At 42.0% G+C, this 27,669-nt stretch overlaps 1 protein-coding gene and 1 long non-coding RNA gene across 12 annotated transcripts in view, besides 5 other annotated features; one reads left to right on the top strand and one right to left on the bottom strand.

Moving 5' to 3' along the window:
- OSBPL9 (oxysterol binding protein like 9) overlaps positions 1-27,669 on the bottom strand; it is a 270,948-nt gene that overhangs the window by 159,224 nt on the left and 84,055 nt on the right. For 7 of the 11 annotated variants that reach the window (NR_036662.2, NM_148909.4, NM_001350208.2 and 4 more), the window contains exon 1: positions 12,775-12,904. Coding sequence is in view for 8 of the 11 variants with exons in the window: in NM_148909.4 (NP_683707.3) it covers positions 12,775-12,885 (111 nt within the window). In the remaining 3 variants the exon portion in view is untranslated. Of the gene's footprint in view, positions 1-12,774; positions 13,123-15,576; positions 15,692-27,669 lie in introns of those variants that run through there. The other 4 variants (NM_001416293.1, NM_001416292.1, NM_001416295.1 and 1 more) reach the window with 2 other exon arrangements.
- Positions 6,646-7,845: an enhancer, noted in NCBI's record as "MED14-independent group 3 enhancer chr1:52087823-52089022 (GRCh37/hg19 assembly coordinates)". NCBI's record gives its function as "activates an origin of replication core promoter dependent on BRD2, BRD4, P300/CBP and CDK7 cofactors, and independent of MED14, by STARR-seq in HCT116 cells {active_cell/tissue: HCT116}" and the evidence as "EXISTENCE:reporter gene assay evidence [ECO:0000049][PMID:35650434]".
- Positions 7,363-7,502: an enhancer, noted in NCBI's record as "active region_1027". NCBI's record gives its function as "activates an Ori minimal core promoter by ATAC-STARR-seq in GM12878 lymphoblastoid cells {active_cell/tissue: GM12878}" and the evidence as "EXISTENCE:reporter gene assay evidence [ECO:0000049][PMID:35858748]".
- On the top strand, positions 7,452-19,013 carry LOC105378719 (uncharacterized). Its single transcript, XR_947339.4, has 3 exons — positions 7,452-7,524; positions 13,286-13,329; positions 18,928-19,013. It is a non-coding gene; the product is annotated as an uncharacterized LOC105378719 (long non-coding RNA).
- Positions 11,391-12,298: an enhancer, noted in NCBI's record as "H3K27ac-H3K4me1 hESC enhancer chr1:52083370-52084277 (GRCh37/hg19 assembly coordinates)". NCBI's record gives its function as "activates a minimal SCP1, AML or CMV promoter by ChIP-STARR-seq in primed H9 embryonic stem cells {active_cell/tissue: H9 hESC(primed)}" and the evidence as "EXISTENCE:reporter gene assay evidence [ECO:0000049][PMID:30033119]".
- Positions 12,299-13,207: an enhancer, noted in NCBI's record as "H3K27ac-H3K4me1 hESC enhancer chr1:52082461-52083369 (GRCh37/hg19 assembly coordinates)". NCBI's record gives its function as "activates a minimal SCP1, AML or CMV promoter by ChIP-STARR-seq in primed H9 embryonic stem cells {active_cell/tissue: H9 hESC(primed)}" and the evidence as "EXISTENCE:reporter gene assay evidence [ECO:0000049][PMID:30033119]".
- Positions 21,680-21,862: a silencer, noted in NCBI's record as "fragment chr1:52073806-52073988 (GRCh37/hg19 assembly coordinates)". NCBI's record gives its function as "represses an EF-1alpha promoter that drives an FKBP-Casp9 reporter gene in an ReSE screen in K562 erythroleukemia cells {active_cell/tissue: K562}" and the evidence as "EXISTENCE:reporter gene assay evidence [ECO:0000049][PMID:32094911]".

The raw sequence follows: 27,669 nt of genomic DNA, 5'->3' as shown, positions 1-27,669 counted from the left end.
CTCCATAACTCCCCCTCCCCCATGCACATTAATAATTTTTTTTTTTTGAGATGGAATATGGCTCTGTCGCCCAGGCTGGAGTGCAGTGGCACAGTCTTGACTCACTGCAATCTCCAACTCCCAGTTTCAAGCAATTCTCCTGCCTCAGCCTCCCAAGTAGCTGGGACTACAGGCGCACACCACCACACCCAGCTAATTTTTGTATTTTTAGTAGAGACAGGGTTTCACCACGTTGGCCAGGCTGGTCTCAAACTCCTGATCTCAGGTGATCCACCCACCTCAGCCTCTCAAAGCACTGGGATTACAGGCATGAGCCACTGCACCGAGCCACATTAGTGAATTTGTATGCCTTTTCTCCTATGAATCTGCCTTTTGTCAGTTGCATTTCAGCGAACCTCCAAAGGCCAAGAAGTTTTCCCTTTGGCCTGCCCATACAGTTTCACACTGTACAGGGTGGCAGCCTACCACATGGACTAGGTATGTAGTAAACTATATGATCTAAGTTTGTGTAAGCCCACTTTATGACATCCACACAATGATAAAATCACCTAACAAATTTCTCAGAAGATATCTCCCCACACTCCTGCCCCATTGTTAAGCGACCCATGACTATATTTACTGAAAAGCCACTAAGTGCCAGGCACTGCTCTAGATGCTGGAGATAAAATGATGAAGATAAATAAAGTCTCTGTTCTAATGGAACTTACATTCTATTCATACAAGACAGAAACAGACAATAAGCAAGAGAAACAAAATAAAGCAATAACAATATATGCCATGAAAAATCAAACGAGATGATTATGATAGCAACTGAGGGTGAGAGGCCTACTTTAGATGGTTTGTTATAGAAAGGCTTCTCTGAGCAGTGACATATGAATGAAAACCTGTATAAGAAGTAATCAACCATGCTAGACCTGTCCAAGACAGAAAACATTCAGAGGCCCTGAGGCAAGAACAAGTTTGAAGAACTTCAAAGGAACAGAAGAAAAGCTCAAGTGAATAGAGAGTGTTAAGCTAAGGCCGGGCATGGTAGCTCAGGCCTGTAATCCCAGCACTTTGGGAGGCCGAGGAGGGTGGATCACTTGAGGTCAGGAGACCAGCCTGGCCAACATGGTGAAACCACGTCTGTACTAAAAATACAAAAATTAGCTGGACATGGTGGCACGCACCTGTAATCCCAGCTACCCAGGAGCCTGAGGCAGGAGAATTGCTGGAACCCAGCAGGCAGAGGCTGCAGTGGGCCGAGATCACGCCACTGCACTCCAGCCTGGGCAACAGAGCAAGGCTCCATCTCAAAAAAAAAAAAAAAAAGAAAAAAAGAAAGATAAATTGAAGCAGATCACAAAGTCATAGTAAAGTCATAATAAAAAATTTAGATATTTTTCTTTTTCTCTTTTCTTTTTTATTTTTTTGAGATGGAGTCTTGCTCTGTCGCCCAGGCTGGGGTGCAGTGGCGCAATCTCAGCTCCCTGCAACCTTCACCTCCCGGGTTCAAGCAATTCTCCCACCTCAGCCTCCCAACGTATTGAAATTACAGGCACGAGCCACTGCACCAGGCCAGCGTAGGAATTTTAACTTCCCAAAGCCAGATGACTGAGATCTTATTAAATAAAGATGAAGAAAAAATGTTATCTTTTGTTCATTTGCCTCTTGAAGAAATACAATACAAAATGGTACAATAACTTACACAGAAAAATCTTAAAATGCTTTTAGGTTGTAGAATATCATGTATAAAATGATTCCATTTATATAAAGTACACAGATGTGTATTTGTGCATAAAGAGTTGTTAGGAAAGCTATTCTCCAAAACACAGATAAGTAGGATTTCAGGTGTGACTTTTCTTCCTTCTACTGTATAGACCTTTCACTATAGTTTGACTCTTCTTTTAAAAATTTAGAGTAATACTGCAATAGTCCTTTCCAAAAAAAAAAAAAAATTGAGAGTAGGCCTTCATTAGTACAGTGGTAGAAAAATAATTAAGAGTACAATGTCATCTCTTCAAGAACAGTAAAACAATTTTTAAAGCTGTAAAAGAGTAACCAGTGTCATCAAATGCTATGGAGACAGTGCTAAGATTAAGAGCGAAAAAAGCACCCATTGGGTTTAGCAACAAAGCTATCACTGGGGACCTCTGCTGGAATTTTCAGTGAAATGTGGAGGTAAAAAAGAGTGCTGTCGAGTAAATGCAAGATGGACTAACAGAGACAGGCATTTCAATACACAAATGTATATTGAGGAAGACAGGTTAGGATGATATTTTCAAAAAAAAAACAGAATTAGGAGAGACATTTTTCAAAGTAGGAGAGATGAACATGTTAATACATTAATGAAAAAGTCAGTCCATCCTAAAATTCATATGTAAATTCAAAGGATCCAGAATAGCCAAAACTATCTTGAAAAAGAACAAAGAAAGTTAGAAGATTTACATTTCCCAATTTCAGAACTTACTACAAAGCTACAGTAATTGAGACAGTATAGTACAGGCGTAAGTACAGACAAATAAGTCAATGGAATAGAACTGACAGTCTAAATACAAATCTTCACATTTATGGTTAGTTAACTGCCAACAAGAATGCCAAAACAATTCAATGGAGAAAGAAGTCTTTCCAACAGATGATGCTCGGACAACTGGATATCCACATGCAAAAGAATAAAGGTGGACCCTTACCTCATTCCATATTAAAAAAAAAAACTAGCCAGGTGCAGTGGCTCACACATATAATCCCAGTACTTTGGGAGGCTGAGACAGAAGGATCATTTCAGCCCAGGAGCTGGAGAACAGTGTGAGCAACATGGCAAGACCCCATCCTCTACAAATAAAAAAAGTAGCCCACATGGTGGCACAAGCCTGTAGTCCCAGCTACTCAGGAGGCTGAGGTGGTAGGATCACTTGGCCTGGGAGTTTGAGGCTGCTATAAGCTATGATTGTGCCACTGCACTCCAGGATGGACAACAGAGAAAGACCTTGTCTCAAAATAAACAAACAAAAAAACCATGACCAACAACAAAAATGGATCAGACCTACCCATTATAGCTAAAATAAACAACTCTTAGAAGTAAACATAGATATGAAACTTTGTGACTTTAGATTAAGCAATGATTTCTCAGATACGACACCAAAAGCATAAGCAGCAGCAGAAGAACAAATAAACTGGACATCATCAAAATTAAAGATGGCCAGGTGTCATGGCTCACACTTGTAATCCCAGCACTTTGGAAGGCCAAAGCGGGAGTATCACTTGAGTCCAGGAGTTCAAGACTAGCCTGGGCAACACAGTGGGACCCTAACTCTACCAAAAAAAAAAAGCAAAACAAAAATTAGCTCGTGTGGTGGCACATGCCTGCAATCCCAACTACTCAGAAGACTGAGGCAGGAGGATTGCTTAAGCCTGGGAGGTCGAGGCTGCAGTGAGCTGTGATAGCACACTGTACTCCAGCCTGGGTGACAGAGTGAGATCTGGTTGTAAGGGGGAAAAAAAAGAATAAAAAGCAACAGGCTATCTAAAAATGTCTGTATAAAATGATTACAACTGTTTGTTATACTGCATAATAATAATAATAATATTCTTAAATAAGAAAAATCTGTAGTGAGGAAGAAGTTAAATAGAGAGAGGAGAGAAAGCAGATAGAGGAGAAAATCTATAGACTGAGATCCCCGAAAAGTTTGTGAGCAAATGGAATCCAGAACACAGGATTACCTCTTCTATGATAGGGAAAGGTAAAAGCAAGTATAAAGAGGAAAATAGATATATCAAAATAGGTGGGAGAACAAGGAGTTGAGAGTGTTCCCACCAAATGGACTATTGTCTCTGGTAAGCATGGCATCTCCTATGAGTGATGGAGGAAAGAAGAGGATTGAGAGACAAAAGATAGCTGCCAGAACGACAGATCACATTTTTATCCAGTGTATTTTCACCCAGCTGTGCCATAACAATACTAAGATAAAATACAAGAAATAAGTAGACAATCTTATCATGGGGCCTCAATGGAACAAAACTCCAAGAAATAGACAATCAACTTTTACAATAATTTTAACATTGTCATGTGAATAGAAAAAAATTAATTATGAATACCTGGAAATACTTTCCTTGAATATAATTCCATTTATATCATCCCATGTAACATGTAAACTTAACTTCTGCAAGTAAATTCCATTTTTAAAATAATCCTGGGCTGAATGCAGTGGCTCACAATTATAATCACAGCACTTTGGGAGGCCGAGGAGGGTGGATTGCTTAAGCTCAGGAGTTTGAGACCAGCCTGGCCAACATGGTGAAACCCCATCTCTACCAAAAATACAAAAAGTTAGCCAGTGTGGTGGCGCATGCCTATGGTCCCAGCTACTCAGGAGGCTGAGGTGAGGTGGGAGGATTTTGAGTCTTGGTGCTGGACGTTGCGGTGAGCCAAAATCATGCCACTGCACTCCAGCCTGGATGACAGAGCAGTACCCCATTAAAAAAAAAAAAAGAAGAAGAAGATAATCCTTTACAATTAAATAAATGAGAAGGAAACAATTGATTGGGGTGGCCATTTCTTTGTCTGTATTTCTCTATAAACAGTAAAAGAAATTCAATCCTTAATCTAAATCACTTGTACACTGTTCTAGTTTTGATCGGGATTACCTATTTGAAAATCTAATCCTTCCAACTGGCATGGTCTAGATTAGTTTAAAATAAATTAAATTACATTTTAAAAAAAGAAAATCTAATCATACAATTGCCACTTTTGGAGTGGCATATTTAAGAACAACTCTACATCTTTCTACAAATTATCACCATCAAGAAAACTGCTTGCAACAGAAGCAAGAATTGACTGCTTGTCTGCTACAACACAGGAAGCAAAGATGGCACACAGTTCCACAGGCTCTGGATGACTAAACAAAAAACCTCTGTTGTTAATATAAACCCAATCAGGTTTTACATAAACTGTGGAAACATACATATTTGCTATTAGTATATTCTGTAAAACTTACAAGGCTGTGTAAACAAGAATTCCAAACAGCCTTCTGCCTCACTCACCTATAATTCGAATTAGAAGGGCCATTCATATTCTATTCACAAGGAGAATAATATGCCTCATTGTCAGGCTTGAAGATTATTATGATGTTCAGTACTGCCATCATGGAGTTTACAAGCTTGCTGTACAGATAAAGAATGTACTAGAGATACATTTAGTTAATTGTAGCAGATGTAAGATGATTAATGCCCAAAAGAAGTATATGAGCTAGGCTCAGGAGTTTTAGAAAAGGGAAAAATCAAGACTGTCTAAAGTATTCAAGGAAAGTAAAAGATAAAAAATTTCCAAATAATTCTTCCCACTGATACTACTCACTATCTTAGAGAGTTTCTTTATGTCTTTTCAGGGTGTTTGGATTTATTTTTATTTTTATTTATTTATTTATTTATTTTTTGAGACAGAGTCTCACTCTGTCACCCAGGCTAGAGTGCAGTGGCGTGATCTCAGCTCACGGGTTTTGCCTTCCGGGTTCAAGCGATTCTCCTGCCTCAGCCTCCCAAGTAGCTGGGATTACAGAGGTGTACCACCATGCCCGGCTAATTTTTGTATTTTTAGTACAGACGGGGTTTTACCATGTTGGTCAGGCTTGTCTTGAACTCCTGACCTCAAGTGACCCACCTGCCTCGACTCCCAAAGTGCTGGGGGATTACAGGCATGAGCCACTGCACCCAGCCCATTTAGATTTAGATACAATTTTTCTTTTGTTCCTTTTATAATTCTAAAGCTACTCTATTAGATTTGGACTACTAAAATGTACCATATAGCCAGGCAAGGTGGCTCACACCTGTAATCTCAGCACTTTGGGAGGCTGAGGCAGGTGGATGATCTGAGGTCAGGAGTTCAAGATCAGCCTGGTCAACATGGTGAAACCTCGTCTCTACTAAAAATACAAAAATTAGCCAGGCCTGGTGGTGGGTGCCTTAATCCCAGCTACTCGGGTGGCTGAGACAGGAGAATTGCTTCTACCCAGGAGGTGGAGGTGGTAGTGAGTGGAGATCGTGCCACTGCACTCCAACCTGGGTGACAGAGCGAGACTCCGACAAAAAAAAAAAAGTACCATATATAAGCTCAATAAAAATCATATTTGATATATTCAAGAATGGTTTACTTAGAAAAGAATAAATTTGCTTTTAAATGTTTGATGGGAGTGGTGCTGATACCTTTCCAGGAGAATCTGAGACTACTTTTACATGTTTGCAAGAGAAATATATACATTTAAGCTATTCAAAAATCTAAAATCTAATAATTAGATGGTAGATTTTTTTATCATCTACTAAACATTGCTAAAGACTGCCAAATAACACTTAAATGTGTTTTGACTAGCAGTGGTTTTAAAATGCAAAGTCATTACAAGTCTCTTCCAGACAGTGTGTAACAGCAAAGAACATATGATTTCTCTAACGACTCCTTTTACAAGGAATATCTTGAGTAGCCCAGGTAACTTACTAATTCAGTTTCTAACCCTCTCTCCAAAAGCAATACAAATCAAGAAAGAGGGTTAAACATTTGTGGGTAATGACTAAACAAATCATATTTAGCTATTCCTTAGCTATTCCTTTTTCCAGTTCCCACTGTCATTGTCCTAAATCTTTACTATACTCCTTGCGTCCTGACTGTATCCTCATTTTTAACATTGACCTTGCTTCCCATCCCTACACCATTTAAGCATATTCCTATTTTAGAAACTGTTCCCCTCCATTCCACATTCCATGTCCTCTTTGCCCTTTCTACAATGAAACATCTTGAATAACCTCCATTCGCTTCATATATTTCCTGCCTCCTCTTTACTCTTCAAGCCACTCCAACCTGCATTCCATACCTACCACTCCATGGAAACTGCTCTGCCTAAGAACATCAATGATGTTCATCAATCCAATGGATATGCTTTAGATCTCATCTATTTAATCCTTTCAGCAGTATTCAAGCCAATTTACTACTTCCACCTTGCCATCCATGACTGCCACATTCTTCTAGTTTTTCTCTTACATCTCTGGCATCCCTTTTCACTCTCCTGTGCAAGCTTTTTTCCTCTGCCAATCCCTTAAATTGTGATTGTGGTGGTTTAAAATTTGTCCACAAATTCTTTTCAAAAGATAAAGCCTAATTTCCCTCCTCATGTCTGAAATTCCCATCCCCAGGAGCATGAGTGGAATTTAATGGCTTGTCTCTAATGAACAGAATAAGGCAGAAGTGGTGGTCTCTGACTAGGTCATAAAAGGGATTGAGGCTTCCTCTTTGCTCTCACTTGGATCACAGCCAGCTGCTCTGTCATGATGACACTTAAGCAGCTCAATGGAGAGGCTACCTGGTGAGGAATGAGGCCACCTTCCAACAGCCAGCAAGGAACTGCCACTTTCTGACAACAGCCATGTGAGTCATCGTGGAAGCTGATCTTCCTGCTCCAGTCAAGCCTTTCAGATGACTGCAGCACTGGCTAATATATTGACTACAACTTCATAAGAGACCCTGAGCCAGAACTCAAAGTTCTGACCCACGAAAACTATGAGGTAACAAACTGTTGTTTTAAATTGCTACATTTTGGAGTAATCTGTCATAACGCAATAGATAACTAAATCCAGTGGTATTTTCCAGAGTCCTATCCAAAGATCTCTATTCTACTCACTCTCTCAACTCTCCATATATGAAAAACTAATATTTATCTGCAGCCCAGATTTATTTTATGTTTTACTGACTGATAAGAGGATATGCAGCCCAGATTTTTGTCCCAAGCTCCAGACTGTAACACATCTTTATGTCAATTTCAACATGCCCCAAAGCAACCACTTCTCTCCCCCAACCTGTTCTTCCTATCTTCCTTTTTATCATTCAACCAGCTCAAGCTGAAAACCTGGATGTCTTCAGACTCTTCCCCTTTCACTCACATCCAATCACTAAATCCCATCAAAAGCAACCTCCTGATTACTTCTCCGCAACCATATTCTTTAAAATAAAAAAAAAAACACACATTTCACCTGAACCTACTGATCAATTTTAACATCATAGAGAGACAAGCTAACATCATATGCCTCTTGATTTGATAGGTTCCACCTATATTCTTGCCCAAAAGAAAAAAAATAAATTTGATTAAGCTTTCAGCTCAAATTATCAATTTATATAGGAAATACAGAGGACAAAGGAACCTGTTTAAACATACCAAAATGATGCTTCCAACAAAATCCAAAATGCAGAAAATTCTACAGAGTAAATGACCTGGTGTCTTAGACAAATAAATGGCCAAGAAAAAGAGAGGGAGAACTAGAGATTAAAAGAGACTCTATAATTTTATATGCAGATCTTGTTTGGAATTCTGACTCAAACCAACTGGTAAGGAAGAAATGTTTGCGACATTCTAGGAAATTGAACAGACTGGATATTTGATATTAATAAATACTACTATTTAGCTGTAATAAAAGTGTTTTGATAACATTCTTTTGAAAATAGAGGGACCTTAACTTTCTTTTTTTTTTTTTTTTGAGACGGAGTCTTGCTTTGTCGCCCAGGCTGGAGTGCAGTGGGACCATCTCGGCTCACTGCAAACTCCACTTCCTGGTTCAAGTGATTCTCCTTGAAGGGAGAGGCTGAATTCTTGGCCTCCCAAGTAGCTGGGATTACTGGCGCTGGCCACAGCAGGGCAAATTTTTGTATTTTTAGCAGAGATAGTGTTGGCCAGGCTAGTCTTGAATTCCTGACCTCAGGTGATCTCCCCGCCTCGGCCTCCCAAGGTGCTGGGATTACAGGCGTGAGCCACCATGCCTGGCCACATACTGAAATATTCACAAGAAATAATAATCTGGGATCTGCTCTAAAAATAATTCAATAGAGGAGGAAGGAGTTAATGGGAGTACTAATAAAACAAGACTGGCCATATGTTGATACTTGTATAAGCTGGATGAAATGAATTCATTTTACCGTCCTCTTTAGTTTTATGAATGTTAAAAATTTTCTATAATAGGCTGGGCACAGGGGCTCACGCCTGTAATCCTAACATTCTGGGAGGCCGAGGCAAGTGAATGCTTGAGCCCTGAAGTTCGAGGCCAGCCTCAGCAACATGGTGAAACCCCGTCTCTACCAAAAATACAAAATTAACCAGTCTTATCAAAATAAATGAATAAATAAAATAGATTTATTTTTTTAAATTTCTATAATAAAAGATTTTTCAATAATAATAAAAAGTGCTTACAACACTGAAATAGCTCTCCACTGCCCTGGGGATAAAGTTCAAATTCCTTAACATGGTTTGCCAAGAAAGCCTTTCATTATCTGTCCTCCTGCTTAGCTCCCCAGTTCATCTCTCACTACTACCTACCTCACAGCCCAACCTCCAGAACTGACAAGCTGCTTACTCTTCTCTCCTCCAAAAAACTTTTATTCCCTTTGTCTCAAGCACTTTTCCCTCTCTGCTCATACGGCTAATCTCTCCTCATCATTCAAGTCAAAACAAACCTGCTTCTCCAAGGAAACCTTTCCTAACCCTTCAAGACTGAGTCAAGTAGCCCACCTATGTATCCCCCTGTGCTTCCTCTATCACAGCTCTTATCTGGTATGTCCCCCAACATATTATAGGTACCATGAGAGGATGAACAATTTCCATCTTATTTGCCACTTTAACCCCACTTCCTAACAAAGTGCCAGGCACACAATAGGTACTCAGTAACCTTTCATAAATTAACAAAAGGCACAAACTCCTCTTTCTAAACTTCCAATTCCTCATAGATCTATAACTCCCCCAATTTCCTTCCTTCCATATCTTCTTTTGTGATCATAAGCCACATAAACAATTGGTTGCTCACATAGTGTTCCTAAATTTATATCCTTAGTTCTCCCTGGCCATTTCATCTAATAAAAATTCAACTAAGGTGAGGCTTGTGTAAATCTATTCAGTTCACAACTATCGCAATGATCCTAACCCAATCCTGAGATTACCTCAAGAACAATTCTCAGTAAAGCCAACTCTAAAGCAAGGTCACTCTAGTTTAGTTCAGGGTTTTCAGAACCACCCTAGAATATATTAACAACCACAGAGACAGACTACAGGCCAAGTGATTTTGGAAACAAGAAATAAAGTTATGCTATTCACTGCCTTGCTTGGAAGGCTACACAACTAATTCAGATATTCTTCCTGGAAGATGTAGCTCCAAGTTATTAGCCACATGCAAATCATTAATATGTACCTTCAAATCCTTCAGAATCCGAATGGACTGAAATAATGTCATGTGTGTAGAATTCATTGCCAATATCCAATGTGTCTCCTACCTTCCCTTTTAAGTAAATATCTATCCTTTTCCCCTCTTCACTAGACCTCCTCTAATTTGAGATTGGGTATCATTTTATTTTCACAAGATGGTACAACAATTGTCTGTTGTTTCTCTGTAAGCAAATACTTCAATATCAAGGAACTAGAAAAGAAAAAAAATCTTCTAAACAGCTGTTAGTGAGAAATATGATACTTCCTTCCTCTGGCAAGGATAATATTTTAGGGAATCTAGTCTCAAAAAGAAGGATAAGCATTGAGGGGGAAAAAAGTATTTTTTTAAACCCTATATTTAGCCAGCAAGAAAAGAGATATTTGTCCAAGTATTCAAAAACTGAAAGGGCAACAAAGCAGAAAAAGGATACATGAAAAGAAGAAAAAGAGGAAAAAGGAAGATTCTTTCTGGGCTAGGCATTCCCAAGAACCTCAGCTGGGGGCCTCTCCAGTATGGTCCTAGATTCAGATCCACACAAATTTGGGATTTGTAAAGTAACTTAACTGCATAGTGTCACTCACTGAAATCACTCTATCTTGAATAGAGTTTACGGGATTTTCTGATTATCACATCTACTTAAACCCAATATTACTTTTCCTTTATCTAAGCCATGGGTTTCATAATTCCAGAGTTTTCAGGACATAATATTCAGTTGCCTCTCTTTCATGCCCACCTAAAGACAATCTTGAACAATGTGTTTAAGACTCATTAAGGTTTAGTCTTTTTCCCTTTAAAAACTATGTAGAGAAAGAAAGCTGATAGTTGAAGGATGATGAAAGTAATACTTTTACTCTTGCAAGCTTGCCTTTAGTAACTCACAACTTACACTTTTCTCCTTCCTGTAGTGAAAGCGAAGTTTAGTAGAAAAAGTCAATAATTTGGCATCCTGATTCCATCACTTAGTGCTATGTGATGTTGAGCAAATTGCTTTAAAAGCCTGGAGCCTCAGATTTCAAAACTGTAACTGGGGATATTAAATGGAGATAATGAATAACCACCTTGCAGAGTTATTAGGAGTGAAATGAATTAAAGGACTCACCAAGCTAGTATATAAGCTCCAGAGAAGAGGAACAGTGAATGTCTTTTTTACTGTCTATTCTTGCTGGCATGAAAACGCACATAGCAGCTCAATAATATTTTTTAAATGAACAAATAAATTCAGTGTCCCCTTTCTCTCATCAACCTTAATCCTTCTTCCATAATCATGTTTTTCTTTCTGTCTTCTATTATTTTCTAAAGCTTTCTGGGCATTCTATTTTGTCCTCTTATGTATTTTCTTCCCTCATATCGGCTATCGTCAACTATACACCATTCAGAGAAAGTACCTTTCTAAGTAAGTTATCTCCCTAATACCACCTACTCTCCATATCGAATGCGATGAGGGTGGAGGGGATAGTCAAAACATAAGATTCAAGGCCGGACGCGGTGGCTCACGTCTGTAATCCCAGTACTTTGGGAGGCCGAGGCGGGTGGATCACCTGAGGTCAGGAGTTCAAGACCAGCCTGGCCAACATGGTGAAACCCCGTCTCTACTAAAAATACAAGAATTAGCAGGGTGTGGTGGCGCATGCCTGTGATCCCAGCTACTAGGGAGGCCAGAGGCAGGAGAATCGCTTGAACCCGAGAGGCAGAAGTTGCAGTGAGCCGAGATGATGCCATTGCACGCCAGCCTGGGCAACAGGGCGAGACTCCGTCTCAAAAAAAAAACCACACACACACACACACACACACACACAACCACGTAAGATTCACAGCAATTCATCTACTTTTCCACGGCCACCAACTCATGTTAACAACAGTGAAGCCCTGAACCCAGAATGTAACTGTAAGGGGACACTGCACTATCACTTGTCTCTCTTCGCTGACAAGAGTCTCGCGTGTAGGAAATCCTTGGCTCTCAAAAGTTAAGGCGTCGTTTGAGCTCGCCTCCCGCTAAATAGAGGGGTGCGTCCCTTGAATGAGACACACAACCTGAACCGACTGGAGGGATTTCGGACCCCCTGGTGTTGCCCGAGGGCTGGTCACTTTTGGACCTGTCCCGGCTCCTCTGGCCACTCCTCCGAGGAAGCAGAGCTCTTCAATCCCTGGAGGGAAGCTAAGGGGTGCGGCCGGCTACAGGGCCTTGGTGGGACAGTGTAAAGTCCATGACAACATATGAAGACAGCATGAACCGCAAGACTGGACCTTTTAAGCCATGACTACGATCACCCTTACCCGCTCACAACCATGCTGGACCCCACTACCGCTTAATAGCGGACCCTAAGAAAGAAACTTGGCTCACCCCCAACCCATAAATCAGACAGCTAGTTTCTATTTATTGGCTGCGCCCCTCTCTCCCTCACCCTCATTGGCTATCCGAGACGTAAAACCCTCCCCAACAAGGGAACCCTCGCGTACGGCGGCACCCCCAGACTAGCAACCTCAACTCAGCCACCTAAAACCCCGGTCCCCCACCTCCACCCAGGAAACGCGGCCCCGAGGCGCCTGGAGCTGTGCCCTCCAAGGACTCACCGTGTAGTAGGAGAGCAGTCCTGCATTGTAGTCCAGCACGAACCAACGGTACTGCCAGCCCTTCATCACGTTAGTCCATTTGCTCAGCGGCCCTTCCATGATGGACGCCATCTTGGGAGCCGCCAATGACAACAAACGGCCTGACGTCACTCGCCTATATGGCATTCAGCATGCGGGGGGCGGGGCCGCAGGGGGCGGGGCGGGTCCTGGGCGGGTCCTGGGCGGTGCCGGCAGATGCTCCAGCGATCAAGTCAAACACGCTTTCTTAGGGCGCCTATTGTGTGTAGGACTCCATGCCACGGATGCGAGAATGCAAACGTGAATACTGCTATTAAGATTATTTATAATCTGTCATGGGATTAGAGTAAAGAAAAAAGATTATGAACATATTAATAAATAATTTTACTGGCCATGATACCTTCCACTTCCAAAAGATTTCATATCTGATATTCATTTATGCATTCATTCCACAAATCCATTCATTTAATAAATATTCGCTGTTTTGTGCTAGGCATTCTTCTAGACATTGGGGATACAACAGAGCCTTCATGACAGGTGAGGGGAATGGTAAAATAAATAGTAAATTATATCGTACATTAAAAAATCATAAATGCTATGGAGAAAAACATAAGCAAGGAAGGAGAGAGCGCTGGGACTGCTATTTTAAATTCCCAAACAGGGAAGGCCTGAGTGAAAAGGTAACTTTTAAGCAAAGACCTGAAGAAAGCGAAGGAGGGAGCCTGGTGGAAGAGCCTTCCAAGACGAAGGAATAGCAAATGCAAAGACCAAATGTTAGGAGTGAGCGTGGCATCTTGAGGGATCAACAAGGAGGTCAGTGTGCGTGGAGCAGTGAGCCAGGGAGAAAGTGGTGGGAGATAAGGTCAAAGAAGTAGGGATAGATCACTAACAGCCTACAGGGGCAATTTAAGCATTTATTGGCTGGGCGCGGTGGCTCGCACCTGTTATCCCAGCACTTTGGGTGGCCGAGGCAGGCAGATCACTTGAGATCAGGCGTTCGAGACCAGCCTGGCCAACATGGTAAAAGCCCATCTCTACTAAACATACAAAAATTATCTGGGCGTGGTGGCGCACCCTGTAGTCCTAGCTGAGGCACAAGAATCACTTGAACCTCGGAGCCGAGATTGCATCACTGCACTCCAGCCTGGGTGACAGAGCCAAATTCTCTCTCACACAAAAAAAAAAAAAAAAAAAAAAAAACCAAAGGATTTATTGACCACCTACTATATCTAGGCACTGTTGGAGGTCCTGGGAATACAGCAGTGAATAAGCTCTCTCAGAGCTTAAATTCTGTGGTGAAAGCAAACACTAAACAAGTAAACAAGAAAAATATCCAATACTGATTAACACTGCAAATAATTTAATAAATTATTTTAATAGGAAGTCAGTGGGTAGCTAATTTATAGGGGGTGGTTATAGGGCAGGCCTCTTAGGAAGTGGCTTTAAACTTAGATATGGAGGATAAGAAAAGGCCAGCCGTGCAAATATCAAGAGAAAGAGCTAAAAAGGAAACTAAAAGATGAGGCACTAGCTGGAAACGGAGGTGTGGTCAAGGGAAGGGCTTTCTTTGTCCTTTTTTAAAATTATTATTTAGATCGAAGACACTAGAGAATATTACTTTGCTGATTTTCAAGAGAGGGAAAAACTGGGGACATCCTAGAGAAAAGAGAGAATAGCAGCAGTGAAGCCCTTCATAAGATTGAGACCTCTTTTTGTGTTGGCAAAACACTGGAATAAAATACAAAAAAAGAAAGAAAGGAAAAGACTGAGACCCCAAGCCCAAGTGCAAAGGTTGACTTTTGATACTAGCAGAGATACTTTATCCAAAGTAACAAGAAAGAAGAGCAGAGAGTATGGGTTCAGATGCCAGTGGATCAGTAGTTAGATGGTATAGAAATGAATGAGTTTCTGTTTTTTTTGTTTGTTTTGTTTTGTTTTGTTTTGTTTTTTTGAGATGGAGTTTCACTCTTATCGCCCAGGCTGGAGAGCAGTGGCACGATCTCGGCTCACTGCAACCTCCACCTCCCAAGTTCAAGAGATTCTCTTGCCGCAGCCTCCCAAGTAGCTGGGATTACAGGCGCTCGCCTGGCTAACTTTTGTATTTTTAGTAGAGACGAGGTTTCACCATGTTGGCCAGGCTGGTCTCAAACTCCTGACCTCAGGTGATCCACCCACTTCGGCCTCCCAAAGTGTTGGGATTACAGGTGTGAGCCATTGCGCTGGGCGGAGTTTCTACTTCTAGTTGAGGAGAGGCTCAAAGCTTAGTACTTAAGAATGTGGATCCTGGTGCCATAGTACCAGGGTTTTAATATCCAGATTCATCACTTAGTAGCTATATGGCCTTAGGCAAGTTTGCTAACTTCTCTGTGCCTCGGTGTCCCCTTCTTTAAAATGTGAGTAACAATAGTAGCTGTCTACAAAGGTTGTTTCAAGGATTAAGTGAGCTCCTATGGGTAAAGAGCTTAGAACAGAGCCTGGTAGATAGTAAGCACTCAATTAATATTAGCTCTTATTCTGCAATTATACAGGCAACAGGAGAAATAAATAAATAAATAAATAAATATTAGTTCTTAGAATTTTCCCAAAGAAATGTGGTGTGGGCCGGGCTTGGTGGCTGACACCTGTAATCCCAATGTTTTGGGAAGTTGAGGTGGGAGAATCGCTTCAGGCCAGGAGTTTGGGACCAGCCTGGGCAACATAGTGGGACCCCATCTCTACAAAAAAAATAAAATTTAAAATTAAAAAAAATTTGTTGGTTATGGTGGCACACATCTGTAGTCCTACCTACTCAGGAAGCTGAGGCAGGAGGATTGCTTGAGCCCAGGAGGTCAAGACTGCAGTGAGCCAAGATCATGTCACTGCACTCCAGCCTGAGTTGGATGCCAGACTGAGACACTGTCTGTAAAAGAAATTTGAAAAAGAAGTAAATAAGAATATATCTCTACAAGAAATTTGAAAAAGAAGTAAATAAGAATATATCTGAAAGGGATAGCAGCCAAAAAAATGAGCATCCTGTTTCTCTTTTCCTTTCTTTTCCTTGGGATCGCCTCTTTTCTATAGATTACAATTTAATAAAGGTTTCTGGGAATAAGGTAGACGTTTGGCATCTTCAAGAAAGCCAGGCCAGGCTCAGTGGCTCATGCCTGTAATCCCAGCACTTTGGGAATCCAAGGTGGGAGGACAGCTCGAGCCCAGGAGTTACAGACCAGCCTGGGCAACAAAGTGAAACTCCTGAGCAACAAAGAACAGCCTGGACAACAAAGTGAGAGCCTGTCTCTACAAAAAATTTAAAAATTAGTGAGGTTGTGGTGGCTCATGCCTGTAGTACTAGCTACTTAGGGGGCTGAGGCAGGGGGATTGCTTGAGCCCAGGAGGTCAAGGATACAGTAAGCAGAGATCGTGCCACTGCACTCCAGCCTAGGCAAGGCAACAGATCAAGACCCTGTCTCAAAAAAAAAAAAAAGAAAAGAAAGAAAAGGCAAGGCTTGGTTTAAGAGACATGGTTCCTATTCAGGAGCTAACCAGGACATGAAACATGCATGCAACTGAGTGTGGTACAAAGCCATTTCTGTTTCTTTTTGGATATTTTTTTTCTTATTAATTCCACCATTTATTATCTACCCTATGCCAGGGACTGTGCCAGGAATGTTATATATCTTATCACTTTTAACCATCACAATAACTCTGTGAGTATTTTAATCTCCACATTTTACAAATAAGGAAACTGAGATTCAAAGAAATGAACAAACTTACCCAGGTACCTGAGAGTATTAATTAGTGAATTAACGAGTATCTGAGTCCATATAAACACATACCTGTCTTTTCATCATGCTACATGGCCTCCTCAAAACACACTATACACTTCCTATAGAAACTTGATGTTCCAGACTAATCAGCAGAATAGCTCATGTTGCGGATGTCTTTTGGGATAAGCAAACTGTGGGGATCTTGAAACATCATGACTCAGATTGAGTTAAAAAATTTACATAGTGTTCATTAGTATCCCTCCATTAGCTTCTTAACAGCAGGAACCAGGCCTTATCTTTGTAGTCCTAGAAACTAGCCCAGTTCTTGGCACACAGAAGGTGCTTAATAATTATTGTTTGATCTGAATTATCTGTTCCATTGAAACTGACCAAAAGGTTTCAAGGATTGTGCTAAACTCCATGAGTTACGTTGTTTCCTTTATTCCCCTCAACAATCCTTCAAGATTTGTACTATCACACCCGTTTTAAATATGAGGACACTAGAACACAGAGTTATTTAGTGGCTTGCCAAAAGTCACACAACTAGTAAACAGCAGAACCAGAATTAGAATCTAGGTCTTTGCATGCCAGATCCATTTCACCCCAGCAGCAAGCTATATCTTCATTGTTTATGTATAAATGTCTTGATCACTTCTCAGTTATTTGGCTAAGATTAAGTGTAGTAAATAAATGTCTTGGACATGACACAGGCAACATCATCAACTTCTAAATCAGTTTTAACTTTCATCAGGGTCACCAGGCATCAGCAGGCTCTACTTAGCTTCAAATGTCAAAACACAGGTCATCAGGGAAAGCCAGGATCAAGTGCAGTTCTTGACTCATAAAACCATGTCCATTTCCACAGCACTTTTTCTACATTCTACACAAAGTGTCAAACTACATTCTTTAAATAATTAGCTAAAGTTACACGTGGTGGAGACACATCGGCTATAGTTCCTACATTCCTCAGTGACTGGCATCTTGTGGAAATGATGTGGCAGCTGATGCATAGCAGAAAAAAAGGACTAGACTCAGAACTGAAAGGTAGAGTCAATGTTAACCGTAAAACATCAAAAACTCGTCAAGGACAGGAGCTGGGACAGATTCATCCTGCCATTCAGAATATCAATAAATATTAAAGACATGATTTTTGAAAGACCATTCTGGCAGCAAAACTGAGGACAAAATGGAGAGGAGCAAGATGAGATAAGAAGACAAAGAGAGTTTTAAAAAGCTAATCAAGCAATAGAGAGTTTCAGTTTGGACAATGACAGCATGGATGAAGAATAGGAAAGATACTATTCTGTATATTTATTGAGAAACATTTTGGAGATAAGATTTTAAAACTCACTAAGCAATGGAATTAAATGAGGAGGGAGTAAGGAGAATCAGAGATAATACCAAGGTTTCTAACTTTTGTAACTGAATAATCATTTAGCCAAGTTTTGTTTTGTATGTATGTATTTATTCATTTATTTATTTAGAGACAGAGTCTCACTCGGTCACCCAGGCTAGAGTGCAGTAGCGCCATCTCAGCTCACTGCAACCTCCTGCTCACAGGTCTAAGCGATTCTCCTGCCTCAGCCTCCTGAGTAGCTGGGACTACAGGCGCCCGCCACCACGCCCGGCTAATTTTTGTATTTTTAGTAGAGACAGGGTTTCACCATGTTGGCCAGGCTGGTCTCAAACTCCTACCTCAGGTGATCCACCCCCCACCCCTTGACCTTCCAGAGTGTGGGATTACAGGTGTGAGCCACTGTGCCTGGCCTGTTTTGTTTTTAAAAAGGAAGAACAAGAATGGCTTGTGTTTCTCCATAGGAAGTTTCCTTCCTTTACACAGCTGTTTAGACCATTAATTTTTTCCCTTAGTTTCTAGCAAAAATTATTTCCAACTTTTCACAGCCAAGAGTGTAGGTACAAATTACTTCATAATGCATTCTGTTGTTGTTGGTTTGCTGTCTTCTCTTCCTAAACTTCACACCAACTGCTTTTTGTTATTGCTGTTATTGTTGTCATGTTTCTTAATTGGTATTTGTCGAGCATCAAATAAAACAACATTCCTACAGTGTTGTTTTATTAAGGAAAAACACAGAAACCTACAAGACATTGACTGTCCTTTGCTGGGTGTAGAGGAAACAAGATCATGCTTATATTTGGTAGAAGCAAAATAAGGCATAGCCTGTTTTGTTCACAGTCCTGTTTTTTTTTTTTTCACCCTTTCCACTAGCTACAGAGCAAGAAAGTGAAACATCAAGTTTAGGAAAAGCTATGATTTTCAGGCAAAAGAGAGTTGAGAAAGGGAGAGAAAATATTTTAGGAGATTTAGGTTCTGTAAGTGTTCTAAGGAAAGAAAAGAGGAATGAACTGATCTTTTGTCTTCTCCTTCCAGTGTCCCCTTGGAGACCCACATCTCAGCTACCTCGGGCTTTAAACATTTTACAAACACCCTCCTTCACAGATGGAAGTGACCTTTCATTCTTTACAGCCCCATCTACACCCTGAACAAACATGTAACAGTGTCTGGGACAACCTATTGCATCTACTCATTGAGTGCCTGGTTCTCCTATCTCTTGGGTTCTTTGAGGACTCAGTCATATGTGCATCCACAAGCTTAGCACAGTGCCTCACGTAGACAACATGGAACACAAAGCCGCAGGCAATCTGCTTAGCAGCAGCAGGCAATCTGAATAAAAGGGTCAGGGAAGGCTAGGGAAGCTGGATTGCCAGAAACCATTTTTACTTACGCTTTGTACTTATTTGGGTTGGCTGAGAGGAGCTCATAGAGATTAGGGAGCTAATTCTCCCAAGCCACTTTCTTGAATAAATGATAGTCAAGGAAAAAGTAGCTTCTCCAGCTAAAATCTCATTGAGGTCAGTGACTTATTCACCTCTCTATCTCCAATATAACAATACTGCCTGGGGCATAGCAGCCCATGTTGAATGTTTGTGAAGATGATCTGAATTAAGGTTAGGAGTTCAAAACCAGCCTGGCCAACAAGGTGAAACCCCGTCTCTACCAAAAATACAAAATTAGCTGGGCATGGTGGTGCACGCCTATAATCCCAGCTACTCAGGAGGCTGAGGCAGGAGAATTGTTGAACCTGGGAGGCAGAGGTTGCAGTGAGCAGAGATTGCGCCACCGCAGTCCAGCCGGGGCAACAGAGCAAGACTCCATCTCAACAACAACAACAACAACAACAACAACAACAACAAATATCAGTTCCTTTTTGAGAGTTTCTTTGGACACCCACACCTGTGCCCACCCCCAGATAGAGCTAATCTTACCTTTACTATGTTCCACAGTGAATTACACATTCTAATTCAGGTAGCAATTATCTCACAGCGTCCTTAATGAGTTCATCCACAGTGTATTGTGACAAGAATATTCTACATTGTAAGATATATGTGTGGGGCCGGGAGTGGTGACTCACACCTGTAATCCCAGCACTTTGGGAGGCCGAGGCAGGCAGATCACGAGGTCAGGAGTTCAAGACCAGCCTGGCCAACATGGTGAAACCCCATCTCTACTAAAGACACAAAAAATTAGCCGGGCGTGGTGGCACATGCCTGTAATCCCAGCTACTCAGGAGACTGAGGCAGGAGAATCGCTTGAACCCAGGAGGTGGAGGTTGTGGTGAGCCGAGATCACGCCACTGCACTCCAGCCTGGGCAACAAGAGCAAAACTCCGTCTAAAAAAAAAAAAAAAAATAGACATTCAGCCGGCAAGTGGATATCCTAATTTGGAGCTCAAGAAATAAACCAGTGCTGGAATTACACATTTGAGTTTTAATCCATAGGCGGTAGCTGGCCAGGAGTGGTGGTTCATGCCTATAATTCCAGCACTTTGGGAGGTTGAGGCATGAGGCAGGAGGATCACTTCAAGCCAGGAGTTTGAGACCAGCCTGGGCAACATAGCCAGACCCTGTCTCTACCAAAAAAAAAAAAAAAAGCCAGGCATGGTGGCACATACCTGTAGTTCCAACTACTCAGGAAGCTGAAATTGGAGGAGCTCTTGAGCCCAGGTGGTTGAGGCTGCAGTGAGCCTTGATGGTGCCACTGCACTCCAACCTGGGCGACAGAGTGACACCCTATCTCTAAAAAAAAAAAAAAAAAAGGAGAGAGAAGGTAGCTGAAGGCATAGGAAGCATTGAGATCAGGGAATGTGGATAGAGTGTATGGTTCAGGATGGAACCCTAGAGGACAGCAAAATTTAAAGAAGAGGAAAAAGAAGAGAAACCAGGAAAAAAGATTAAGAATCAATAATTAGAATGGGGAAAAATGAGAGAGGCTTGAGAAAGCTAAGGCCTACGGAAAATACTTCAAGATCAAATGCAGGAAATTAAGAGGCATTCTCCTTGGTGAACTCTATTTCTATATGAATTAGGTCATTAACAGATAGGAAGGGGGAAGGGGAGGTCATAGAATTAGACAGTGAACTTTAAGAAGGTGATGAAGTGTAAAAGGCAAGAGGGAAGGGCTCTGTGAAGTGAAAAAAAAAGGGATGGAAGTAGCAATAAGGGTCCCTCTGAGTTTAAACATACAAACTATTGGTAGCACTGGCTTATCTTGTTTTGAATGGTTGAGGGATTTTTTTTTTCCCCCAGCAATTCTCAGCAGCCTGTGTCTAGGAACACAGGAGGTGCATCACTGGAATTATCCAAGGTGAGAGAGATTTATAAGGTAGGTGGAGGAAGGAAGAAGTTGAGAGTAGCTGGTTAGCCTATATGTTAGAGTAGGTAGTTAGGCGGACAAGAGCAGGGCAGGAAAGCCCCCCCCCCCAATCCAGGAATGTCAGGTGACCATCAGATGATGGTCAGGAGATTGTTAAACTATCTCTCTAAAATAATCATTGAAGGCCAGTTGTGGTGGCTCATGCCTGTAATCCTAGCATTTTGGGAGGCTGAGGTGGGTGGATCACTCCTTGAGGTCAGGAGTTTCAGACCAGCCAGGCCAACATGGTGAAACCCTTTCTCTACTAAAAATAAAAAAAAAAAAAATTAGCTGGGCATGGTGGCACACTCCTGTAATCCCAGCTACTGGGGAGGCTGAGGCAAGAGAATCACTTGAACCCAGGAGTCAGAGCTTGCAGTGAGCTGAGATTGCACCACTGCACTCTAGTCTGGGTGACAGAGTGAGACTCCGTCTCAAAAAATAATTAATTAAATAAAATAATAATTGGTCGCAGCTGGTGCCAGGGAAAGGCAGTCTCCCAACAGACAGAAGACACTTGAGGCTGATGATCAGCAGCTTCCTGAGAAGATCTCAGGAGTTGGATGAGTGGGCTCAAGCATGCACACTAAGAGGCAAAATGGTGGAGTTTAACTTGTATATGACCTTCCTCTAGGAACACTAGACTGGTAAGGGAAAAACGCCTTAAATGAGCATATGCACAACTTCAGTAAATACAGTGTATGCGGCCCGCCCAAGTGCTGGCAGGCCAGTGTGCATGCGGACAGCCTGCCCCAAGGAAAATCAAGAGAGGAGAGATGCAAGTCCTGGAACCATGCCAATGTATAAAACCCCAAGTCAGGGGTCAGATGGGGCACTTGGATTTCTCAAGTCATCCACTTGGCCCTCTTCCAAGTGTACTTCCTTTCGTTCCTCCTCTAAAATTTTTTAATAAACTTTCATTCCTGCTCTAAAACTTCAGTCAGTCTCTCACTGTGCCATATGCCCCTTGGCCAAATTCTTTCCTCCAAGGAGGTGAGAATTGAGCTTGCTGCAAACCCGTATGGATTCACTGCTGCTAACAGATAGACATAGCTGATGAGATCTAGGCTGATTATGGCAGGAAAGGAGAATAGATTAGGAGGAAGAAGCCAAGAGATTGAATTGGATCTCCTTTGAGGTTAAAGAGAGACTTAGTGGGAATAAGAGAGCTGGGAGGATGGAAAGTTGTGTGCATATATACACACACAGTATGATTCCAATTTTATAAAAAATATACCTATCTACCCAGAAGATTACATAGATATACTACAGAAAAACATCTGTAGGCCAAGTGTGGTGGCTCACGCCTGTAATCCTAGCTCTTTGGGAGGCTGAGCCGGGCAGATCACTTGAGGTCAGGAGTTTGAGATCAGCCTGGCCAACATGGTGAAACCCCATCTCTACTAAAAGTACAAAAATTAGCTGGGTGTGGTGGTGCACACTTGTGATCCCAGCTACTCAGGAGGATGAGGCAGGAGAATCACTTGAATCCAGGAGAGGGAGGTTGCAGTGCTGAGATCGTGCCACTGCACTCCAGCCTCACTGACAGAGCATGACTCTGTCTCAAAAAAAAAAAAAAAAAGAAAAAGAAAAGAAAAGAAAAACATCTGTAGTCAGTTTGTGGGATTATGGTTGGTTTTATGTTTTTTCTTTATACTTTTGTGTTTTCCAAATTTTTTCTTTTTTTCTTTTTTTTTGAGATGGAGTCTCACTCTGTCGCCCAGGCTGGAGTGCAGTGGCGCGATCTCGGCTCACTGCAAGCTCCGCCTCCCGGGTTCACGCCATTCTCCTGCCTCAGCCTCCCGAGTAGCTGGGACTACAGGCGCCCGCCACCATGCCCGGCTAATTTTTTTTGTATTTTTAGGAGAGACCGGGTTTCACCGTGTTAGCCAGGCTAGTCTCGATCTCCTGACCTCGTGATCTGCCCGCCTTGGCCTCCCAAAGTGCTGAGATTACAGGCGTGAGCCACCGCGCCCGGCATGTTTTCCAAATTTTCTACAAGTAACAGACATTGTACTTGTAACTACTTAAAAAGCCATTTTGTAAAGGATAAAAAATATATTTTAAAAAAGTACCACCAGGTAATTATGTCAGCTCTGAATTTGCCAGGCATTTGCCATTTATAATCATGTGCCTGCCTCCTTAAAGAGCTGAAATAAGCAGCATTATTGTTCAAACAGGGACATCCTGTCAGATTGCAACAGCCTTCTGTGCCAACCAGAAGTCTTGCAGAATTCTCATGCCCTCTTCCTCATTCTATATCCACCTAGGTCCCCATAACTTAAAGACAAATCATCACAGCCATAAATTTGCAGTATATTAATTCACTACATTTTTCCAAGCAAGTGGCCTTCAGTAAACAGCAATTCTATGCTGAATCCTGAAGTGCTAAAGATAGTGCTGAAGATACAGAGATCAGTCTTACATAGTTCCTGTCCTCAAGGATCTCAGAGTCTGTGTTGCCACACACGGCAACACATGCCAAGCCAGGGATAAAGGTGCTCTGGGCAAAGAGGGGCGCCTAAACCAGCCTGCACTGGAATCACACAGCCTTTCCTTTCCATGTCCACTGCTACTAACTGGTCTCAAACCTGCACCATTTAATGCTTGGATTGCTACAGTAGCTTGGCGTTATCCACTCCACTATTGCTACCTTAAACCTAGCCTCCACACTGACTGTGAGAGCCGGTCATATTTCTTTCTTTCTTTCCTTTCTTTCCTTCCTTTTCTTTTTTCTTTCTCTCTCTCTCTCTCTCGCTCTCTTTCTTTGTTTCTTTCTTTTGAGACGGAGTCTAGCTCTGTACAGTGGCCTGATCTTGGCTCACTGCAACCTCCACCTCCCAGGTTCAAGCAATTCTCCTGTCTACCCTCCTGAGTAGCTGGGATTACAGGCGCCTGCCACCACGCCCAGCTAATTTTTGTATTTTTAGTGGAGACAGCGTTTCACTATGTTGGCCAGGCTGGTCTCGGACTCCTGACCTTGTGATCCGTCCACCTCAGCCTCCCAAAGTGCTGGGATTACAAGCCTGAGTCACTGTGCCCGGCTGAGAGCCAATCATATTTCTAAGGAAAAGATAAAATTTAATTCCTTACTTCCAGACTTATTTTTTGTGTCATTTATCTTCCCACCTCCAAATATGATACCAGTTCCCTAAATTCATGCCATTATTGATCCTTGGGACATTTCTGCTATTTCTGTCTTCTCTGTGTTGAATGTCTTTACTCCTCTATGTCTGGAAAATACCTACTCATCTTTCAGGACTCCATTAAAGTGTCTGTCATCTCTTCTATGAAGATTTTCTTTTTTATCTTCTTGTTTTTTGGAATGGGGTCTCACTATGTTGCCCAGGCTGGTCTCAAATTCCTGGACTCAAGCTATCCTCCTGCCTCTGCCTCCCTAAGTGCTGGGATTGCAGGTGTGAGCCACTGCTCCTGGCTGATTTTCTTGATTTATCTCTCCAGCTAGTTAGAAATCCCAGTTCCCTTATTTAAATGGCTCTTGTAGCACTTGTAATAATTTCCTGCCTTTATTGGCTTGCACATTTGTCTTGTTCATTAGATTGTAAACGCTTTAAGGACAGGGGAATAATCTTATTCATCTCAGTATCCCAAATACCTAACTCAGGGGTTGGCAAACATTTTCTATAAAATGTCAGATAGTAAAATATTTTAGGCTTTGAGGGCCAGATGTTCTTTATCAGAAACACCCAACTCTGCCATGTAGTAGGGCAAAAGCATAAGTGAATGGGCATGGCTGTGTTCCAATAAAACTTTATTTATAAAAACATGAAGCTAGGCCAGGTGCGGTGGCTCACGCCTGTAATCCCAGCACTTTGGGAGGCTGAGGCGGGTGGATCACCTGAGGTCAGGAGTTCAAGATTAGCCTGACCAACATGTGAAACCCCGTGTCTACTAAAAACAAAAAATCAGCCAGGTGTGGTGGCAGGCGCCTGTAATCCCAGCTACTTGGGAGGCTGAGGCAGGAGAATCACTTGGACCCGGGAGGCCGAGGTTGCAGTGAGCCAAGATCGCACCATTGTACTCCTGCCTGGGAGAAAGAGCGAGACTCCATCTCAAAAACAAACAAAGAAACCATGAAGCTAGCCATATTTGGTCTTCAAAACCAGTTTGCTAATCCCTTTAGTGTATGATGGACTTACAATAAATACCTAATGAATTTTTTTTTTCTTTGAGACAGAGTCTCACTCTGTCACCCAGGCGGGAGTATAATGGTGGGATCTTGGCTTACTGCAACCTCCGCCTCCCGGGTTCAAGTGATTCTCCTGCCTCAGCCTCCCGAGCAGCTGGGATTACAGGCGCCCACCACCATGCCTGGCTGATTTTTGTATTTTTAGTAGAGACGGGGTTTCATCATGTTGGTCAGGCTGGCCTTGCACTCCTGACCTCAGGTGATCCACCCACCTCGGTCTCCCAAAGTGCTGGGATTACAGGCGTGAGCCACCGCACCCAGCCCTAATGAATTTTTTTAAATGTAAAATGAAGTGGTAGAGGCAGTATTTGCGTCCCATTACATTCTGTAGCAGATGCTATTGGTTTCCTGTCCATATTTTCCTGGCATTCACTTCTAGACACTGAAGGCTATTATAGGGAACACACGCAGCTCACTGCCTGAAGATTTTGGTTTTCTTTCTTTCTTTCTGACCAGGGAACATGCTTGGCCTGTGCACAGAGCAAGCTGGGAGTTTCGGAGACTTAATGTTATCAGAACCAATGATGTATAGGGAGTTGAATAATACCCCAATTTTCTCACCCCTCCATTGGGATACCTTGAATGTGCCCTGCACTGTCTCCCAGAGTTCCACAGCATAACTGAGGTCCAATTGCCCACTATGGTAACTAGCTTAATAATGTATACATTATTGACTATCTTCACTTCTGTCTTACTACCCAACTCCTACCCGGGTTTACTGATATCATATCCTAAATAATTTGCCTGCACTCCAACCCAAACCAAGACACATACTTTTTCTACTACATACACCACAGGGCTTAGCCAGAAGACCCCGGCTGAAATGTTTTTATTGCCTATAAAGAGAAATATATTAACTACTAGTATCTCCTAAAATATTGGCGCAGAATAATACAACTACAATAAAAAAAGAAGAGGACTCTTAGAGACCAGAACATAGAATAGGCTCTGCCATAACCCAGCTGTGTGACTTAGGGCAAATCACTTAAACCTATTTAAGATTTTGTCCACTTTCTAGGAAAGAGAGGCAGTATCATGAACCTCACTGGGTTTTTGTGAGGATGAAATAGCATAAGGTACTTAAAATGTCCCATCCAGTTCCCTAAATAGAGCTGTAAGATCGTTTTCTCTCCAAATCTAAAAATCTTGTTCTCAGTTCTCATTCGCTTTGGCCTCAGTAAATTTACTTTATCTGTATACAATACTGTTATTCCTGATACTGTTTTGTGAATTTTTGTTTCACCAGCACATAACTTGTTTTCTTGATTATATTGCTAGTTAACAAAAGCAGGAACTTTATCTTATGCTTATTCATACTTAAGTGAAATCATATATTTGAAAATGGTTTGCAAACTGCAAAGTGTTTTTTTTGTTTTTGTTTTGAGACAGGGTCTCACTCTGTTGCCCAGGCTGGAGTACAGTGGCACGATCATGGCTCACTGCAGCCTCAACCTCCTGAGCTTAAGTGATTCTCCCACTTCAACCACCCTATAACTGGGACTACAGGTGCACGCCATCATGCCCGGCTAATTTTTGTATTTTTTGCCAAGAAAGGGTTTCACCATGTTTCTCAGGCTGACACTGAACTCCTAAGCTCAAGTGATCCTCCTGCCTTGGCCTCCCAAAGTGCTGGGATTGCACGTGTGAGCCACCACCCCAGCCCTAGTGTTTTGTTATTATTTACCTTATTCCATCAACATATTTTGAGCACCCACTGCATGCTAGTCCTTGTGCCAGGCATTAAGGATACAGAAAGAAGTAAGATTTGCTCTCTGATTCAAGAGTTTAGTTGGCTGGGTACAGTAGCTCATGCCTGTAATCCCACCAGTTTGGGAGGCAGAGGCGGGAGAATCCCTTGAGCCCAGGAGTTTGAGACCAACTAGGGCAATATAGTGAGACATCTCCCCGCCCCACTCCTCGTCTCTACAAAAAAAAATTTTTTTTTAATCAGCTGGGTGTGGTGACTTGTGTCTGTAGTCTCAGCTACCAGGGAGGCCGAGGTGGGAGGATCCCTTGAGCCCAGGAGGTCAGGGTTCCAAAGGGCTGTGATTGTGCCACAGCACTCCAGCCTGGGCAACAAAGTAAGACCCAGTCTCAAAAAAAAAAAAAAAAAAAAATTAAAAAAAAATGTTTCATGAACGAGACGGATTATGAAAGTATACGAATAAATTACCATACAGTGAGACATGTGTTAGGGTAGAGGCAGGATG

Source organism: Homo sapiens, chromosome 1 (genome assembly GCF_000001405.40).
Source record: "Homo sapiens chromosome 1, GRCh38.p14 Primary Assembly".
NCBI lineage: Eukaryota > Metazoa > Chordata > Mammalia > Primates > Hominidae > Homo > Homo sapiens.
Note: the sequence above shows the minus strand (reverse complement) of the source record. Positions and strands in the feature narration are given on the sequence as shown.